This window comes from Homo sapiens, chromosome 22 (assembly GCF_000001405.40).
Source record: "Homo sapiens chromosome 22, GRCh38.p14 Primary Assembly".
In the NCBI taxonomy this organism is placed as follows: domain Eukaryota; kingdom Metazoa; phylum Chordata; class Mammalia; order Primates; family Hominidae; genus Homo; species Homo sapiens.
In genome coordinates this window covers 48,432,893-48,447,403 of record NC_000022.11, presented here as the reverse complement: position 1 = coordinate 48,447,403, position 14,511 = coordinate 48,432,893, and the positions used below count along the sequence as shown (strand labels likewise).

The following is a 14,511-nucleotide window of genomic DNA, read 5'->3' as shown; positions in this document are numbered from 1 at the left end:
CGGAAAGCAAGGCTAGCAGACGTGCAGGTAGATGGAACACTCAGGGGGAAGCTACTAATGACAGCACTGATGATGGGCTGGGCCTTGATCCATATTGTTTCATTAAATCCCAGAAGTGACCCTGTGTTGGCCTTGTGACCCCAATCTTTCAGTGAGGAAATATAGGTGTAGAGAGGTTAAGTGGATTCTTGGAACAGTGAGTGTGGAGGCTGGGTTCCAGTCAGGGCTGAGAAAGTCCTGCCCTCACGTCATTTCACGATGTGCGTGTTGTACCCACTCTGTCTGATATGGAAGCTCTGCTGTAGGGGGCTTGGCAGAGATCTCTGGCCATGAAGACCTCACTTTCTCGATGGCTGGCAGGAACAGGGTAGAGAAGGCCGAGCTGAGGAAGGAATGGATGGCAGAAGAGAATGGCTCTCATTGTCCTCTGTGTTGTGGGCAGTGCTCTGGGCTTGGGGTGTAGGCACATTGCTCAGTTAAGGGGGCTGAAGACCTACTGTGCTCCAGGGACAGGCCTAGGTGTGACGAGGTCTCCTACAGCCCCTCCATCGGGTAGGACAGCATGGGACACCGAGACAGTGACCCAGGGCCCCTTGTTCTGTGCGTCCTGGTGCCTTAGCTGGGTCAGTGGTGGGCTCCACAGAGAAGCACAGAGCTCACAGTTGCCGATGGCAGAATCACAGAATCGAGACCACTCCTCACCAGGGTAAGAAGGAATGGGTGTATCCAGAGACAAGTAGACACGGCAGCGTCTGATCTTTTATGACTCAGCCTGGGTCAGCTCTTTCATTAAAAATTAGAATTCCTGCTTCATCATTTTCGTGGCTCTGACTCACATGTGATGAGAGGTTTCCATGATCACCCATAAATTTCAATGCTCATTTAAGGGAAAAAAAATAGTTGTGGGAATTTATGATGAATAGGGTAAATTTTTAGGAGCCAGCATTGGGCTGTCAGAGGCCCAGAAGGTCTCCATCCCTGGAGGGGGTTGGGGGGTCTGAGAGAAGCCTCACCTCCCTACCTGTCACTCCTGCAGCTAGAGCCACCCACCAGCTCTCTGGGGCCGCTGGTCAGCACACTCTGACCTGGGCACACTTGGCAGGGAGGAGAGAAGGACTCCAAATCTCCCTAACTTCAAACAGGAGCTATCCAGGCTGCAGAGTTCCATGAGGCATCAAAGTCAGGAAGACGGGCGGCGCCTGCATCTTCTAAAACTATTGTTGGCCAGTGTCCTGTAGGAAGGCCGGGCGCGGTGGCTCACGCCTGTAACCCCAGCACTTTGGGAGACCGAGGCGGGTGGTTCACAAGGTCAGGAGATCGAGACCATCCTGGCTAACACGGTGAAACCCCGTCTCTACTAAAAAAAAAAAAAAAGACAAAAAATTAGCTGGGCGTGGTGGCAGACTCCTGTAGTCCCAGCTACTCGGGAGGCTGAGGCAGGAGAATGGCGTGAAGCCGGGAGGCAGAGCTTGCAGTGAGCCGAGATCATGCCACTTCACTCCGGCCTGGGCGACAGAACGAGACTCCATCTCAAAAAAAAAAAAAAAGAAAGAAAGAAAGAAAGAAAGGTGGCACAAAGTTGGGGGTGGTGGGGAAGAAACATTCTCCCCACACTTTGGTTTCCATGAGGGTCCACGTACATTGCCGCTCTCGAGCCCCAACACGAGCTTTTTGCCAGGGCTACAGTGGGGTGCCTTCCTGGGCAGAGGGGAAGCTGGGCAAGTGTGACTCACACTCACCATGGGAGCTGGTGCCTGCAGGTCGGGACTCATCCTGACCAGCTCCTCCTCACCGGCTAGTGTGACTGAGAAGCCCTCTTCGTGCTCGGCACTGGGGGACCAGCGGGGCTGCAGAGCTAGGCGTGCCCGTGAACCTCGCTCCAGCAGCAGTGAGCATGCCTTTTGATGGTAGTTTGCTTGTTTATTTGTGTGTATTTTAATTTAACTTCCATCCTCCTGGATTCTTCATATACCTCAAGTCATTCTGGACGAGGACAGAGAGAAAGCTGGGCTTTCCAAGGACTTTCCTGGCTATAAAACTGGAAGTCCCAAATCTTGGGCACCCCTCAGTCCTGAGCCACGCAGGTGTGAAAAGAGAAGTCTTGTGAACCGACCTCTCAAACCAGCTTGCCTGGAGACAGAAGATGCACAGTCCTGCCCCGTTCTGCTGTTTGCAAGCGGTCCTCTTCAAGGAGGGCTTGAATTTGCCAGGTCTCAGTTTTCACAGCTATTTCATGGGAGTAAAACTCTGCCATGTAACCAGGAGTTAAAATGTGCCATAGACTTACTCCTTGCAGAGGAGGTTTCTGCTTGCAGAGCAGCAGACGATAGAGAAAATGTCACTGCCAGTGGGAGTTCTGGAGGGCTCGCTGGAAGAGGCAACTGCATTTCGGCCAGGTCTTGAGGATTCCAGGAAGGATGGCTTGGGGCTGCTGGGGGTGGCAGAGCCTCCATGGGTGGCCACCATCTGTGTGTGTCTTATGCCTCCTCCCTCCTTCCCTCTTACCCCGCCCCAGCACAGAGCAGGTGCTCAGGAAACATGGCCTACATTGCAGCCTCTCATGGCACTGGCCACAGGACTGGAATTTCCTGGAGATGCTAATCCATCAGCTCCTCCAGACGGGGTGCTGCTGTCTGACATCCCAGCTGCGGCAGGACTGACTCTGTAGGCAGGTGGGCAGTCAGACCAGTGGCTCCTGGCCTGGCTGTGCCCTGAGTGCCTTCTCCAAGCCAGTTCAGGGTGTACGGCAGGCACTCAGTGTCCTGCATGGAGTGGGCCCGCATCCTTGTGTTTTGCAGCTGAACAAGACCCGGCCCTGCCCTCCCAAATGTGTCCTCCAGCCGGAAGATCAGTAAGCGTGTGTGAGCGCTGCAGGCATGCGCTGGCCGAGGACATGTGGTTGCTCGCATGAGTGAGCCAACCAGCCTGTGGGAAGAAGTGAGAGAGCCCCGCTGTGCAGACCTCTGAAACGAAAGGCACCCGCAAATCCCAGAGAAGCTTTGATCAAAGCCTCACTTCTGCTTTTACCAGCACAATGCCAGGTCGGTCACCTGGGGCCCTGGGGCAGCTCCAGCCACAAGAAGTTTCTCTTAAGCAGCCCCAGATCTGCATCGGTGAGCACATGGGCATCTGTGAGGCATCTCCTGGGCGCTGGGCTCCATGAGCTGTCCCTCTTGGTGTGGCCATAGACAGAGGCTGGGTTGATCCATGGGTTCTGATGCATTAATGATAATGTCACTGATACAGGGAGACTTTGCCTGAGAAGCTGGGGCTGGCCCATTTTTCATTAAATAATATAATTTGTTGCATTGGTACGCAAGGACAAATAGCTCTGTCGAGCTGAAAGCCTGAAAAAAAAAGGTAATATAGTGTTGTTATTCATGAGCTGAAGCCACGCTTGGAGAATATTCCTCATTTTGACTAAAATGTATCTTCTGCCCACTCAAAGCAAATGCAATTTTCCTTTTTATGACTATCGGTTATTTACATAGAAAAAGTTTAAGTAAGGTCTGTACTACCAACAGCCACTGCTCCCTACAGTGTGGCACCGGAGGGGTTGCTGGGGTCAGGTCCATGCAGGGGCCTCTGGAGTCCCCAGAGGGAGGGAAAAAGGCAGGGTGAAGAGAGCCAGGGATACCCTCCCACTTGGCCAGACAAGAAGCCCCTTGAGAGAAGGGACAGAAACCCCATGCCACCTTCCTTCCCTCCCTTCCCTTCTTTCCCTCCCTCTCTCCCTTCCTCCCTTTTCTTTCTTTCCTTCCTTCCTTCCTTCCTTCCTTCCTTCCTTCCTTCCTTCCTTCCTTCCTTCCCTCCTTCTTTCCCTCCCTCCCTCCCTCCCTGCCCCCTTCCCTTCCCTTCCCTTCCCTTCCCTTCCCTTCCCATCCCTTCCCTTCCCTTCTATTTTACTTTCTCTCCCTCCAAGAGTCACTTGGCTACTTCCTTAATGTCCCATAGGATGTTTCTCTGGGTCTGAGGAAAGAGAAATCTAACAGTTCCTCCATCAAGATGTAGGCTGGGTGCAGTGACTCGCCTGTAATCCCAGCACTTTGGGAGGCCAAGGCGGACAGATCTCCTGAGGTCAGGAGTTCAAGACTAGCTTGACCAACATGGCAAAACCCTGTCTCTACTAAAAATTAGCCAGGTGTGGTAGCAGGGGCCTGTAATCCCAGCTACTTAGGAGGCTGAAGCAGGAGAATCGCTTGAACCCAGGAGGTGGAAGTTGCAGTGAGCCAAGATTGTGCCATTGCACTCCAGCCTGGGCAACAAGAATGAAACTCCATCTCAAAACAAACAAACAAACAAACAAACAAAGATGCTATAGGTTGGGTTGGGTACAGACACAGTCAGCTAATTTTTGTAATGTGTGATGAGCCTGTTTGCTCACCCATTTACTCAGGACTTATCGTTCTAAGCCGAGCCCCACCCCAGGCTCCAGGTGCAGTGGGCACCAGTGGGGATGCCCCTCCCCTCATCCTCAGCCTGGCCTGGAGCCATCTTGGGAGCTCACAGCCACCCTGACTGTTGGAGACTCACCCGAAAACAGGACACAGCCCCGTCCCCGGGAGCTCCTGCTGCAGCTGTCCTGTTGGGCTCGGCTCAAGGCACAGCAGAAGGACAGAGAAAGGATGGGAGCCTGAACCTCACTCCTTTTAGGCCAGAGCCCAGAGCAGGTCCTGGGGCCACGCTGAGTTCATCCCCCGCTACATCACCTGTCATTGCATCTGACCATGGGATTATTATAATTAAGGACAGAGAGGAAAATGTAACTATTAAGGATTTTATACAAGTAAAACTAGTCAATTTCCCCTGCAGGGCCTTGCCGGCCAAGTCTATGTGGGCCAGGCACAAAAAAACTGGAGCTTCAGACTCATGGTGCACAGCTCAGGGCTCAGGGTTAGGGCTCTGGGCTCAGGGCTCAGGATTAGAGCTCAGGGCTCAGGGTTAGGGCTCAGGGCTCAGGGCTCAGGGTTAGCGCTCAAGGCTCAGGATTAGGGCTCAGGACTCAGGGCTCAGGGTTAAGGCTCAGGGCTCAGCGCTCAGGGTTAGGGTTCAGGGCTCAGGGTTAGGGCTCAGGGCTTAGGGTTCGGGGCTGAGGACTCAGGGCTCAGGGTTAGGGCTCAGGGCTCAGGGCTCAGGATTAGGGCTCAGGGCTCAGGATTAGGCCTCAAGGTTCAGGGCTCAGGATTAAGGCTCAGGGTTCAGGATTAGGGCTCAGGGCACAGGATTAGGGCTCAGGGCTCAGGGCACAGGATTAGGGTTCAGGGCTCAGGGCTCAGGATTAGGGCTCAGGACTCAGACTCCTGGCTCTCCTCCCCTGCCATCTTTCTCCCGGGGTCTCAATATTGATACGGCATTCACACAATCCAAACATATGAACCTAGTAACAAAGGGCTTGCATATTATCATGGAGTTTCCCAGAATGTAAAGCACCAGGGGCCCAGGATGTCTCCTGGCTTGTCCTCTGCTGCCCTTCCCAACTTCCAGATCACATAGTCCTGTCCCAAAGGCCTCCATGAGCAGGACAAGTCTGTGCAGACACTAGGAGGCTCTCAAAGCCAGGAGACACTGCAGGTCAGGCTGTGGAGCCGTCGTTCCCCAGGCAGGGGGCTTGGACCCACAGACAAGGCTCATGGCTGAGGTGAGCAGGCAGGGGTGGGGGATGGAGAGGCAGAGGCCTGGGGCTGGGGCCTCCATGCCGGCTGCATCTGCGGGGTCTCCTCTTGGCCCAGTCCATGGTGCAACAACTCACCTGCAGAGCCAGAGCCTCAACACACCTTCAGGCAGATGCCGATAGAAGAGGACCTGCTGCAGGGGGCCTCGTACCTCTCATGGGTGCAGGTGGCCCCTTGCCACCCACAGCCCTGAACGGCTGCCTCTCCCTGCAGAGGGCCAGCTTGCAGGAAGGAACAAGTCAAGGGTGGATGAGGCCAAATCCTGCAGCTACATTTGACAGGCTTCCCTCCGGGCATCCACAGGGCAGTGGGAGATGGACTTGCACCCTTCGCCGCAGCTGGGTCCCAAAGTCAATGCTGTGGGAGGCACCGAGGGAGGGACAGAGGCGCCACTGGAGGCAGCTTTGAGGAAGCCCTGAAAGGAGGTGCCACTGGAGGTAGCTTTCAGGAGGCCCACCTGCGAGCAGGGGCACTGCACTGTGCCGAGCCTGGAGGACAGCCCGAGAGAGACGGGGCAGAGGCCAAGTGCTCCAAGCAGTCCTGGGCAGTGCACAGAAGTGTTGCATGGAGAACCTGGAGGGAATGGCAGGGACAGGGTCCCCAGGGGCGTCAGGAGGCATTCCCTGGGTAAGGTTCCACTGGGGAGTCACGGCTCCAATTTAGCCCTGCCATCAAGGTGCCAGCCCCGTGGCGAAGGCCTCAGGACGCAGACATGGTGAGAATAGTGAGGAGACAGCTGCAGGATGGGGTGCTGGCCCATGGGGAAAGGTGGTCAGGCTCTCAGCAGAGGATGAGTCTGCACCCGTCTCATGGGACAGACGGCAATGTCTGGAGACATCTGGGGTCCTCAAGACTGGAGGGGGCTCCCGCATCTAGTGGGGAGAAGTTGGGGGTGCTGTAAACACCTGATGACACGAGGGGCTGTGACCAGCCTGGTGTGTGCCTCAGGTGGATGGCACGCTAAGGTGATGGAGGAGGACTGTCGTGGGGAGGAAGAGGCCTCTGAGCAAGAAAGGGTGGCACGGGGAGGCCACAGTGAGGCCCCGCAGGATGTGTGTCCCACAAGTGTCCCAGGAAACGAGAAAGAGAATGGAGGAGCCAAACCCAGGGACAGGGCCATGGAGGGCGCTGGCTTCATTACATGCGTGTGTGCTCTTTGGAGACCAGTGTGAGCCACAGGACCCCTTTAAACACCAGGAAAGAGACAGCAGCTGCGGTTTCTGAGCATTGGTGAAACAGGGAGGCTGAGACTCCACGGAAGCGATATCTGTTTTACCCTTAAAAGCCATCCTCGGAAGACGGCGCGATGGATTGTGAGTGCCTTTCAATTGCCCGGATAAAGCCCGCGCGGCTGAGGCACAGAGGGAACAGCACCCGCCGGGGTCAGGCTTGCGGATGGCACACTGACACGGTGCTTCTCCAGGAGATCTTGCCCGTGGTGGGATTGCGTTCGTTCCCGTTCACGCAGAGGATAAAACGCAGGGGTAGGACATTTACCATGTTGTAAAAATGTGAAACTATCACCACGATCCCAATTCATTGCCTGCAAGGAGAACGCGTCATTCTTGACAAAATGATTCTCCTTTCTCCTACTGGGACTGGAAAGGCACCTGTTCCAGGATTCTGAGTGGAGGGGGGCACAGGGCATATTCCAGAAATGGAGGGACTGTTGCTAAGTCTGGGGTAAAGCGGTGCACCCGTCATGGAGCAGGTGGGTGAAGAAGCCGACGGTGGCCATCAGCACTGAGGGGAGCACCCAGCTGGGAGCATGGAGCCTCTGGCTGGTGCAGCCTGGTGAATACTTTCTTCCCGCAAGCAGCTCCAAGAGGGAGGAAAGCGTCTCACTGTGGGGCGATGTAACTGCCGTCCTCTGGGTGCCCTTGGCCTCCTCAGCCACCTCTGATCACACTCCTGAGCCAGCCCTCCCTACCACCCACTCTCCCTTCTGGTCTTTGCCACCCTCACAAGAGGGCCCCTGACTGTTTCTGCCACAGGCTCTGCGGGTGGCCCTGGGCCACGCCCTGGGTATGTTCTGTCCACTGCTGTCAGGAGTAGAATTGCACCCACCCCAATTTCATGTTCTGAAGTTCTGACCCCTGGGACCTCAAGATGTGCTTATTTGGAGACAGAGCCTTTTGGGAGGGGAGAGGGCAGTGATTAAATTGGCAAAAGGAAGTTACACGGTGGTCCTGATCTACTAGGACAGGTATCCTTATAATAAGAGGAGCTGCGGATGCAGGCACCCACAGAGACTGCCCTGTGAGGACACAGGAGAAGATGGTGTTTCCAAGCAGAGGAGAGAGGCCCCAGAAGGAACCAGCCCTGCCCACCCCTTATCTCGACCTCCAGAGCAGTGAGACAATGACTGTCCGTGGTTGCAGCGGCCAAGCAGACTAACGCACCCGCTGTGTGCCTGACTCACCTTTCTACAAATCCTCCCCTTCCTGCAAAATGGAAAGGTGACAGCTCCCCGCTGCAGGCACGGTGACTGCACAGGAGACGCCGCTGCTCTCCGGGCTCAGGGCTTAGGGAGCGTCCACTGTGGTCTGGGCCATTCTGTTGCTGGGGCCATGGGAGCAAGAAGACAGGCAGTGACCCCCACACTCTTGTGGCCAGATCCTGGTGTGGAAAGGAGTTGGGAGGGATGCCCTCCACAAGAATGTATGAGACGGAGCTTTCTAGTTCTATGAATAATCAAAACCCATAAATGACAGCGTCTCAGCTTTGCATAAGAAGTCATTTTGTGGCCGGGTGCGGTGGCTCATTCCTGTCATCCCTCTCAAAGCCAAGAAACGATTTTCCATGCCCTCCTCTGAGAATGATGCAACTCTTCCCAGATAGAACTTCTTTTCCCCTTATTTTATTTTTTATTACTTTTAATAAACATTTCGTAGATAAAAAAGAGCATGTGTAGACTCAGATGTAGGCTGTCAGGAGTCCTGATGCTGTGACTACCCCCAACCCTCCATACAGTCTAAGGACAAGCACGTGGTGTCATCTCTACCATCCTGAGTGCCACCCCGTCTGTTCCCATCCCCACCAAAGGCAGTCCCCATCCTGGCAATGGAATCCTTGCCATTCCTTTGTTTTTCCTTAGTCTCACCATGTTGATTTTTATCTATAAACGTTACACATTCATGCTATAAAACTTTATTTAGATGGGACGGCCTTGACTCTATTCTTCTGTGACTCGAGGTCTTCTCCTCTCTCTGTGATGTTTCCTGCTTGTCCGTGCTCCTGGATGTGTGTGGCATGGTGTGCCCATCGCCCCAGTGCAGAATGCAGCCATGCAGGTGTGACCGCCACCTTGTCCTGGTGACAGCTAATGGGCGTTGCGTTGTTGCCGACACCCTTGCCGTCATGGACAGCGGGGCCACAGGCATTCCCCCGTCTTCTTCTATGGCCTGCGGTTCTCGGATCTGGAATTGCCTCGCTGTCACTGGCCTGTCCACTGAAACAATTTCCCCAGCGGTTGTGCTGGTGTCCTGCCTGCCAGGGGCGTGCCATTATGTGGCTTCCACCACTGTGTATCTTCCCCTTGCTGGGCATTGCCAGGCTGGTTATTTCAGAAATGTGGTTTCTTGCTTTCATCCCATTACTTGATGAGGTTCCTTGCATGGTTTCCTCATTTCCAACATTGCTGTTGTTCAGGACGGTGGACTGGGGTGCTGTGACCGATTAGCAATGCCTGCCATGGCGCAGGTGAGGGACACAGTGGCTCACCTGCCATCATGGCTCCCCCGGATTAGGTGGGTTTTGTTTTATTAAAAATCAAGCTTTATGGAGAGTTGGTGCCTGCCTCCTTTATGTGTTATCAACGGATGGAGATTTGAAAAATGATCATGTGAGCTTAGAAACATCTGACTGTATTTCCAGCTTGCCTGACCCTGTGGAGGACGGAGGGTCCCCAGAGAGGGTGGAGTCACGTTCCTGTTGCAGAGACTGCGGTGGGAGGTTTGGGTCCACGTGTAAAACAAAGTGCAGGGGAATCCACAGGACAATGTCAGAACAGGAAAGTAGATGCTCAGGTGAGCTAGTGCCTTCCCGGAAGTGATCTCCGGAGGGTGGACAGGTGTGAGAGTTGCCTGAACGATGTCTGTTAAGAACCATATGGCCGGGCATGGTAGCTCATGTCTATAATTCCAGCACTTTGGGAGGCTGAGGCAGACAGATCACCTGAGGTCAGGAGTTCAAGACCAGCCTGGTCAACATGGTGAAATGCCACCTCTACTAAAAATACAAAAAATTAGCTTGGTGTGGTGGCGGGCGCTTGTAATCCCAGCTATTCGGGAGGCTGAGGTACGAGAATCACTTGAACCCGGGAGGAGGAGGTTGCAGTGAGCTGAGATCGCACCACTGCACTCCAGTCTGGGTGACAGAGCAAGACTCGGCCTCAAAACAAACAAACAAACAAACAAAAAAGCCATAAAATACTCATACTTCCCTGCCAGTACTATTGCATCTAGGAAGTTATCTTGAGGACATAATCTGAGATGCACTCAGAGACGTTTTACAAAGTATTAACCCATCAATACTTAGCAGGAGATAATGGCTGTTGGCCTAAAGTCCTCTGGTTTATCTCTGCCTCATAACCCTGTCTTATCTTCTCGTAACATGTCACGGACAAAAGAGGACCTTGTGCACTTATTTGACCATTTGTTTATCCATCTCCTCCCTCTGGGATTGATGTTCCAGAAGAGTGGGTGGGCTTCTCTTCCATCTACCTTCCCCTCACTTTTGCCACCTCGAATGTCCATGGAAGAAAACAGTGAATTTTTATCAGATGAATGAAGAGGCATTAATCAGAATCGCCTGTACTCTATACATCCTTAAGCAGCTAATAGCATGATGTTTTTAAAGAATTTCCAAGTGCAAATATTCAGAGGATGATGTTAAGGAAAATAGGAGGATCCAGACCTGCACACTCTCCCCACAATCACAGTTGTGCAACACACACCCCTCACATCCCAGCCACATGACGTGGGGTCTGTCACCACCACGGGTCTGTCCACCTGGCTGGTGCGGACCTGGCGGAGACATCCCCTGTGATGTCCACCAGAACCCCAGGCTCCAGGCAACTGCTTTCGCCCGGGTTGGGTAAGAGCTGGATGTAGCTTTGCCCGAAGAAGGTGCAGGCATCACCTGCCCAGGGTTCTGACTGTCCCAGGCAAGGTCTTGGCACAGCAGCCCAAGACCCAAGAGGAGAGCCAGGGGCGATGACTGCTGCAGCTGGAATTCACTCCCGTGTTTGTGATAAAGGGACTCTGCATTGGAGCTGGGGCAGGCTTGGAGGAGCTCCCCAGCAGGGGCGTCTCCCCAAACAGGGACGTGGCTGCCTGCTCCTGGCCACTCTCCCGTTCTTGGCTGCATGGGCAGGAAGAGTGAGGGCCGCCAGCACAGAGGCCTTGAAGCGCGTGATCCCCCATCCCTGCTGTCCCCTCTGCCCCTCCGTTTCCCCAGGCACTGGATGTCAGGCTTGGACCAAGCCATTTTCTCCCTAGTTCTCACATGCTTTGAGTCTTATTTTATTTGGGGGTAAAATTAGATTAGAAGAAAGCTCCGTCTGCATGGCAGTCCCTTCTCAAAGAAAAGGCAAATTAAAGTATTCCCAGGAGGCTGTGTCTCCTTTCACATGAGAGAAATACACTCCGTGGAGAATGTTTCCTCCCCAAGCCCAGACCTGCATTCGGAGGAAGAGGGTCCTTCATTCATTCATCGATGGTTTCTTCAGTGCTTGCCCGACGGTTTTCTAGGCTCCAGGGGATAAACTAGTGTGTGTGTGTACGCGTGTGTGACAGTACGTCTGCGTGCACAGGTGCGTGACAGTATGTCTGCGTGCACGCGTGTGTGATAGTATGTCTGCGTGCACGGGTGTGTGACAGTATGTCTGCGTGCACGGGTGTCAGTGTGTGTTGCATGTGTGTTTATTCCTGTGCAAATGCACACACGTAAGGGAATGTGTGTGACTACACGTATGTGTATGCTTGTGAGTGTCCATGTACATACTTGTGTGTGTGTTATGCATTGTGTGTGGGAGTAAAGGGGTTCAGATATTTTGGGGGAAAGACAGAGACCTGACGTTTATGGAAACCATGACCCAGAGGAGGGAAACTAATGGTAAAAGCCTTTTAAAAAAATTTTCAGCAAGAAAGAAAGATAAAAGTTCCACATGCTTACTTGTTAAAATTAGGAGACTATGGCGAATGTTTCTAAATAGAGTAAGAATACAGTGGTGGCTCACGCCCGTAATCCCAGTGCTTTGGGAGGTTGAGGCAGGTGGATCACCTGAGATCAGGAGTTCAAGGTCAGCCCGGTCAACATGGTGAAACTCTGTCTCTACTAAAAATACAAAAATTAGCCAGGTGTGGTGGCACACACCTGTAATCCCAGCTACTCGAGAGGCTGAGGCAGGAGAGTTGCTTGAACCCAGGCAGCGGAGATTGTAATAAGCTGAGATCGCGCCACTGCACTCCAGCCTGGATGACAGAGTGATACTCCGACTCAAAAAAAAAAAAAAAAAAGAATACAAGCGAAATGAAAAGTCTGTATGCAAACAACCAAATAAATGAGCAGAAGAACCCTAAACTATGAATATAGCCGGGCTTGTGTCTGCAGCATGGCCTGGCTCTGCGCTTGCTGTGAGAACCCTGTGACTCTGTGGAGTCACCTGTAGCTTGTGGGCTTGGACTCCATTCAAGCCTGAGCCCGGGCCCCTCCAACATCCTGTGGCTGGCTGTCAGAAGAGCCCAGCACAGGGCCCCTCTCCTACCTGGTGCTGGCCAGAGCTTGGGGGAGAGAGCAGAATAAGGCCCCTGCTGTCCAGAGCATCACAGGGAAGTGGCTCTGGGCAGAGCCCTTTAAGCTTCAAGAATCAGAAGTAGATTCACACCCTCACACCAGCTCTAGTGTATGAGGAGGGGTTGATAAAGGCACCAGGGCTGTGGGGCGCACCTGCTGGGTTCTCCTCCACAGTCCTTTCCAGGGACCTGCTCTCCTCGCCCCCTTTCCTGTGGCAAGAGAAACTTGGAGGTTTCTCTGCATCTTGAATTGGGATGCAGACACTGAAACCAGCTGTGGCTGGGGTGTCTCCAAGGATTCTGTCCTGGCTTGTCATGACTGGGACTTCCCCGAGGGCTCCGTCCTGCCTTGCTGTGGCTGGGGCATCCCCGGGGGCTTTGTCCTGCCTTTAGGGGTCTAGTTCCCATTCCATTGCTGAGATCCAAATATCTGCAGGCCCTCGGCCTCCTGATGCACTTTGAAATCCACATGCTCTGGTCCAACTTCCTCTGCTACGGAGTCTTCCCGGGCCTCCAGCCTGGGGTCTCTGCCATGCTGGATTCCAGATGAACTCATGGCCACCTGGTCCAACCCGGGGCTCCGCCTCCCTGCCCTTCTGGGGTCCATGTGCTCCTGCCCTCTGTCCCTCTCCAGTTCTGCTTCCTGGTCCAGGAGGCTAACCTGGCCACATCACACTCTGCCACCCTCTCTGATGTCTCGGGTTTCGCACTGTGGATGTTGGGTCCGGGCTCTCGGCCTCCTCATGGCTCCGTCCTCCTCCATGCCTGCCATCACGATGGATGTTATTTTTGCTGAGTACATCGGCAAAACACATCTGTTAATTTTCTGTATTTGTTTATCCACAGTAAAAATCTGAATTAGTAGCTATTTCACACTGCAGCTCACAAATAAACAGGAAAGAGGCAACCCAACAGCCATCTTCAAAGAAAATGAGCCCCGACATTACCAGGCAGACGGGCAGCCAGGAGGAGCCCTGGAAAGAGGCGGAAGGAGGTCGGCTCAGGAGGAAGGTCCTCAGGTGGCAGCACTGGAGGAGCCATGGGCATGGGGGACTCACAGAAGCCCTGGTCCCATCCCATGACTGCCTGGCGCCACCGAAGGACAGGAGATTCCCGAGACACAGCAGCCAACCTCGGCTCAGCCCAGGCCGTCCTGCTCTAGCCAGGGCTCTCCCCAGTGGCCAGTGTTCCTTTTCCTGCCATTGGGTCCTTCCCAGCCCATCGGGAGACAATCACGACCCTCATAACCATGCAAGTGATGCCACTTCAGGGCCTTCAGATTCCTGAGGACGGAGACGTTCCATCCTCTCTGTGTATCCAGCATCCAGTAGGACCACTGTGCAAAGTCTCGTAATGAGAAGGGCAGAGTCCTACAAAGCACCCTCGCCTTACAGTCCAGATGGGGCCGTCAGAACCTCAGTCCACCTCCACCTTAGTCCCGCAAGTTGTCCGTCGTCACCCTCATTTTACAGATGGGGAAACAGCCTGGGGAAGAAAAGAGGGGTGTATGTGCTGGGGTCAGACTCAGCCCAGAGAAGGGAGGCACGGAGGGACACGATGCCGGAAGACGGGGTGAGGCCCGGGGTGGGGAGGGCGCCTTAGATGGGGGGATGTTGCTCCAAGCAACACCTGCCAGGGTTTGGGGACATTTTTGGTGTTAGGACTTGGGGCAGCTGTGCTGCTGGGTGACTGGCATCCAGTAGGCGGGGGCAGGGATGATCTGAGCATCAGGATGCCCAAAATGGCAGATGGCCCAGCCCCAAACGTCAGAAGTGCCAAGATGAGAAACCCTCTGTGCCCTGGCAGGAGGGCACAGCGTGCCAGGGAGGGGGATGCTGCCTCAAGGAGGCTGTCACCAGCCCCAAGTGACAAGGCCCCCTCCCAGGCTGTGTGCTGCAGCTGAGCAGTGAAAGAATCTCTCAATAAAGGATCTCGCATCTTCAGAGCTTAATCACAAGCAGCCTTGTCATTCTGAGTAATGGTGACTGGGTATTTTTTTTTCCTTTCTTTTCTTCACTTCAGATGAATGTAATTGAAGGAAG

At 53.9% G+C, this 14,511-nt stretch overlaps 4 annotated features.

Annotated features, from left to right (window-relative positions):
• Nucleotides 494-1,693: an enhancer, noted in NCBI's record as "CDK7 strongly-dependent group 2 enhancer chr22:48841523-48842722 (GRCh37/hg19 assembly coordinates)". NCBI's record gives its function as "activates an origin of replication core promoter dependent on BRD2, BRD4, P300/CBP, MED14 and CDK7 cofactors, with strong dependence on CDK7, by STARR-seq in HCT116 cells {active_cell/tissue: HCT116}" and the evidence as "EXISTENCE:reporter gene assay evidence [ECO:0000049][PMID:35650434]".
• Nucleotides 2,909-3,038: an enhancer, noted in NCBI's record as "active region_19276". NCBI's record gives its function as "activates an Ori minimal core promoter by ATAC-STARR-seq in GM12878 lymphoblastoid cells {active_cell/tissue: GM12878}" and the evidence as "EXISTENCE:reporter gene assay evidence [ECO:0000049][PMID:35858748]".
• Nucleotides 10,928-11,429: an enhancer, noted in NCBI's record as "H3K4me1 hESC enhancer chr22:48831787-48832288 (GRCh37/hg19 assembly coordinates)". NCBI's record gives its function as "activates a minimal SCP1, AML or CMV promoter by ChIP-STARR-seq in naive H9 embryonic stem cells {active_cell/tissue: H9 hESC(naive)}" and the evidence as "EXISTENCE:reporter gene assay evidence [ECO:0000049][PMID:30033119]".
• Nucleotides 13,732-14,272: an enhancer, noted in NCBI's record as "H3K4me1 hESC enhancer chr22:48828944-48829484 (GRCh37/hg19 assembly coordinates)". NCBI's record gives its function as "activates a minimal SCP1, AML or CMV promoter by ChIP-STARR-seq in primed H9 embryonic stem cells {active_cell/tissue: H9 hESC(primed)}" and the evidence as "EXISTENCE:reporter gene assay evidence [ECO:0000049][PMID:30033119]".